Here is a 4,790-nt window from a genome sequence, read left to right as displayed (position 1 = left end):
AACTCCTTAAGCTGATAAACAACTTCAGCAAAGTCTTAGGATACAAAATCAATGTGTAAAAATCACATGTATTCCTGTACACCAATAATAGACAAACAGTCAAATGATGAGCAAACTCCCATTCACAATTGCTGCAAAGAGAATAAAATACCTAGGAATACAACTTGCAAGGGATGTAAAGGACCTCTTCAAGGAGAACTACAGGCCACTGCTCAAGGAAATAAGAGAGGACATAAACAAATGGAAAAACATTCCATGCCCATGGATATGAAGAATCAATGTTGTGAAAGTGGCCGTACTGCCCAAAGTAATTAATAGATTAAATGCTATTCCTATCAAACTACCATTGAATTTCTTCACAGAATTAGAAAAAAAATACTTTAAATTTCATATGAAACCAAAAAAAGAGCCCATATAGCCAAGACAATCCTAAGCAAAAAGAACAAAGCTGGAGGCATCACCCTACGTGACTTCAAGCTATACTACTAGGCTACAGTAACCAAAACAGCATGGTAATGGTACCAAAACAGATATATAAACCAATGGAAAAGAACACAGGCCTCAGAAATAACACCATACTTCTACTACCATCTGACTTTGACAAACCTGACACACACAAGCAATGGGGAAAAGATTCCCTAATTAATAAATGATGTTGGGAAAACTGACAAGCCATATGCAGAAAACTGAAACTGGACCCATTCCTTACACCTTATATGAAAATTAACTCAAGATGGAATAAAGATTTAAACATAAGACCTAAAACTATACAAACCCTATAAGAAAACCTAGGCAATACCATTCAGGACATAGGCATGGGCACAGACTTCATGACTAAAACAGCAAAAGCAATGGCAACAAAAACCAAAATTGACAAATGGGATCTAATTAAACTAAAGACCTTCTGGACAGCAAAAGAAACTATCATCAGAGTGAACAGGCAACCTACAGAATGGGAGAAAATTTTTACAATCTACCCATCTGACAAAGGGCAAATATCCAGAATCTACAAGGAACTTAAACATTTACAAGAAAACACAATCCATAAAAAAGTGGGCAAAATATATGAACAGACACTTTTCAAAAGAAGACATTTATGTGGCCAAGAAACATATGAAAAAAAGCTCATCATCACTGGTCATTAGAGAAATGCAAATCAAAGCCACAATGAGATACCATCTCACACCAACTGGAATGGCGATCATTAAAAAGTCAGGAAACAATAGATGCTGAAGAGGATGTGGAGAAATAGGAATGCTTTTACACTGTTAATGGGAGTGTAAATTAGTTCAACCATTGTGGAAGAGAGTGTGCTGATTCCTCAAGGATCTGGAAGTAGAAATACCATCTGACCCAGCAATCCCAGTACTGGTTATATTTCAAAGGATTATAAATCATTCTACTATAAAGACACATGCACACGTATGTCTATTGCAACACTATTTACAACAGCAAAGACTTGGAACCAACCCAAATGCCCATCAATGATAGACTGGGTAAAGAAAATGTGGAATACTATCTAGCCATAAAAAAGAATGAGTTCATGTCCTTTGCAGAAACACAGATGAAGCTGGAAACCATCATTCTCAGCAAACTAACACAGGAACAGAAAACCAAACACCACATGTTCTCACTCATAAGTGGGAGTTGAACAACGAGAACATATGGGCACAGGGAGGGAAACATCACACACAAGGGCCCTTCGGGGGTGGGTGGCTAGGGGAGGGATAGCATTAGGAGAAATACCTACTGTAGATGACAGGTTGATGGTGCTGCAAACCACCATGGCACATGTATACCTGTGTGACAAACCTGCACTTTTTGCACATGTATCCCAGAACTTAAAATATAATTAAAAATTTAAAAAAGCAAGAGTCTTGCTCTGTTGCCCAGACTGGAGTGCATTGATGCCATCTTGGTTTACTGCAACCTCTGCCTCCCAGGCTCAAGTGATTCCCATGCCTCAGCCTCTTGGGTATCTGGGAATACAGGTATGCGCCACCACGCCTGGCCAATTTTTTGTATTTTTAGTAGAGATGGAGTTTATCCATGCTTTCCTGAATGGTCTTGAACTCCTGGCCTCAAATGATCAGCCCACGTCTCCCTCCCAAGGTGCTGGGATTACAGGCGTAAGCCACTGTGCCTGGTCTATATAATTTATTTTCGTCTTTTACTTTCAAACTGCCTTTATATTTATAGTAAGTCACATATAAAAAGTATATCTTTGGAGTTTGCTTTTAAATACTTCGATAATCTCTTTTAAATGGAAAAACAGAAATAATTGACTCTATTGGCATAATTGTACCCATCCCTTGAAAATTCCTGATCTACAATAGCCATGTGCAGTTTCTATTACAATTGTATTACAAGAATCTACCAAATTACTGAGGAAGCTATCTCCTCTCAAAAGAAATGCAAGAGGTTATCTTCCAGAATCAGAAAAGGAAGAATGTTTCTTTAACCATAAACTAATTTCTCTGTGCTGATATTCAGCAGAAACTTTTTTTCTATAGTAATACACTTTCTTATTAATGTCCCATCATAACCGATCTCTTGGCAAGTTTTCATATGTAAAATATGACTTGCAAAATCATTATAATCTGATAAGAATATTGATTTTTCTGTCCTGTGAATTTTTTTAAATTAAATAAAATAAAAAGTCATAAAGCATTTTTATTGTTTATAAACAACAAATATGTTTATAGTTAATTCCTAATATGTACATGAGGAATTTAAACCAAATATAAAGCAAAATATTCTGTGTCATGTATACAAAATAGTAAATGTGTTTACATATGTTGCTGATACAATGTTAAATATAATAATTTTATGAATAGCCCATTCTGCTTTATTTTCTAATAACTGTCATTGGTAGAATTGCTGATTTTATTAGTCTTAGTAATAATGCAATTTGAGTGTGTTCATGTCATTTTAATTTTTTCATAAGCAATTCAAGCATAGATAATACCTCTTTAATTATTTTCTGCCCTCTGCCTTTAAAGGAAAAATAACATATACCATATTTTTTAAAAAGATTATTTTACTTTCTGTTATGGAGAAATACATAGTTTGATTTACTTGCTATCTTGCTTCGTCATATCTGAAAGTTAAGATAAAATCTTTGATAGCATCATTCTATTTCGTAAAAATTATTTTGTAATGGTCAATGCAACAGAAACAGGAACTAAAAAATTACCAGTTCTATAAAGTGTAATCCTCAAATATTTATCAATATAGTTTTATATTGCACTTTACTCTCTGGCTCCCTGAGCACAATCATCACACCTGGAGATTCACTTTCATCAGTGTATACAGAGTCATTTTATATTTAACCTGTTAATCTTTTTACAATTCTGATATTGTTCTACGTTGTGATATTTTATAATTGTATTTACCACCATGTTTATAGTTTGTTAAATTGCTCCTTGGTCACTTACACATTTTTGAAAAGGGAAATTAAAACACAACACACAACAGTCACCATAAATGTTACACATTTAAAACAGTTTGAAAGTACCTGAAATCACATGTCAAGACAGAATGTAATGCAGCCCTATAGCAAATATGCAATCTTCTAAAACTTTGGTTGTTAAATACATTAAGAAGTTTATGAGAATATAATAATCCTATATCATATTTTGCAATGCACGTAAGACAATTATTATTGCATTATTCTATGAAGCAGCCAAACCACTGCAGCTCTTAATAGACTACTGGGAAACACAAATAAATGAATATCAACAAATATTTACATAGAGTTCATTTCAGAATAATGGCTCTCAAATTTTTTATTGATAAACACCTGAGAGTACCACTGTGTGCAAAGTTCCCCAATGAACATTTTATATTAGCTGCTATAGAAAATAATTTATATGAAAATTTTCTGATCTAAATGTAGCTCTTCATCCTCCCACCCTGATTATATCATGGATTTAGATAATTGTCAGGTTTAAAGTTACTTTGAAATTTAGGGTTAAAATATTTTTGTTGGTTTGATTTTATTCATAGTATTTTTTGAGATGTTATACCTTGAATTTTTCTCCAAAAATCAAGAAAAGAAGGCTGGGAGATAAAGACGTAACCACTCCTTTTCTCCCCACAAAATGATCTGAGGGCATGGTACTGGATACGTAAGATATAATTACTTAAAATCCACATAACATTAGAAACTACAGGTGGAAACGCAGAGACCAAGTAATTTACTCAAATTCATACCATTAATTGCTTGGATTCAAATTCATGATTATTAGAATCTGAAACCCTCACGCTGCATTACGTTGCTTCTCAAAGGATAGCAAAGATACAATTTTACACACAGACTAAACTGTGTGTCAAAGTGCAGTTCTTAAACAACTTGTATTGGAATAATTTGGATTACTAGTTTAAAATATAAGGCATTTCAATTTCATTAAACAATATTTCTTACTGAGACCAAATATTAAATTTATCCTCAACCACAGCAATATTTCATTGCTAATATATTGGAGCTCAAACTAAAGTCTACTTTCAATTTGTTCTTTAACTAAATATCAGAAAATTTTTCTTATTCATACCAAATACATTTTTTGGCTTCACAGGGGATAATTTTTAGTTATTGTATTCTTTAAAAATATAGAATTAAAAATGATTTATGTGGTTATCATGCAAGCTGTGGGGTCTACATATGTTCATTTATATGTGGTTTGTGATTTATCCATACATGTTTACAGATTAATTAATCACTGCTCAAGTCCAGTTTTAATCCACTGACATTCATGTATTTATATTCATTTAACTTTCATATCTCCATT

The sequence above is a fragment of the Homo sapiens genome, chromosome 6 (assembly GCF_000001405.40).
Source record: "Homo sapiens chromosome 6, GRCh38.p14 Primary Assembly".
NCBI lineage: Eukaryota > Metazoa > Chordata > Mammalia > Primates > Hominidae > Homo > Homo sapiens.
The sequence above is the reverse complement of the archived record's forward strand: the minus strand, read 5'-3'. Positions refer to the sequence as shown.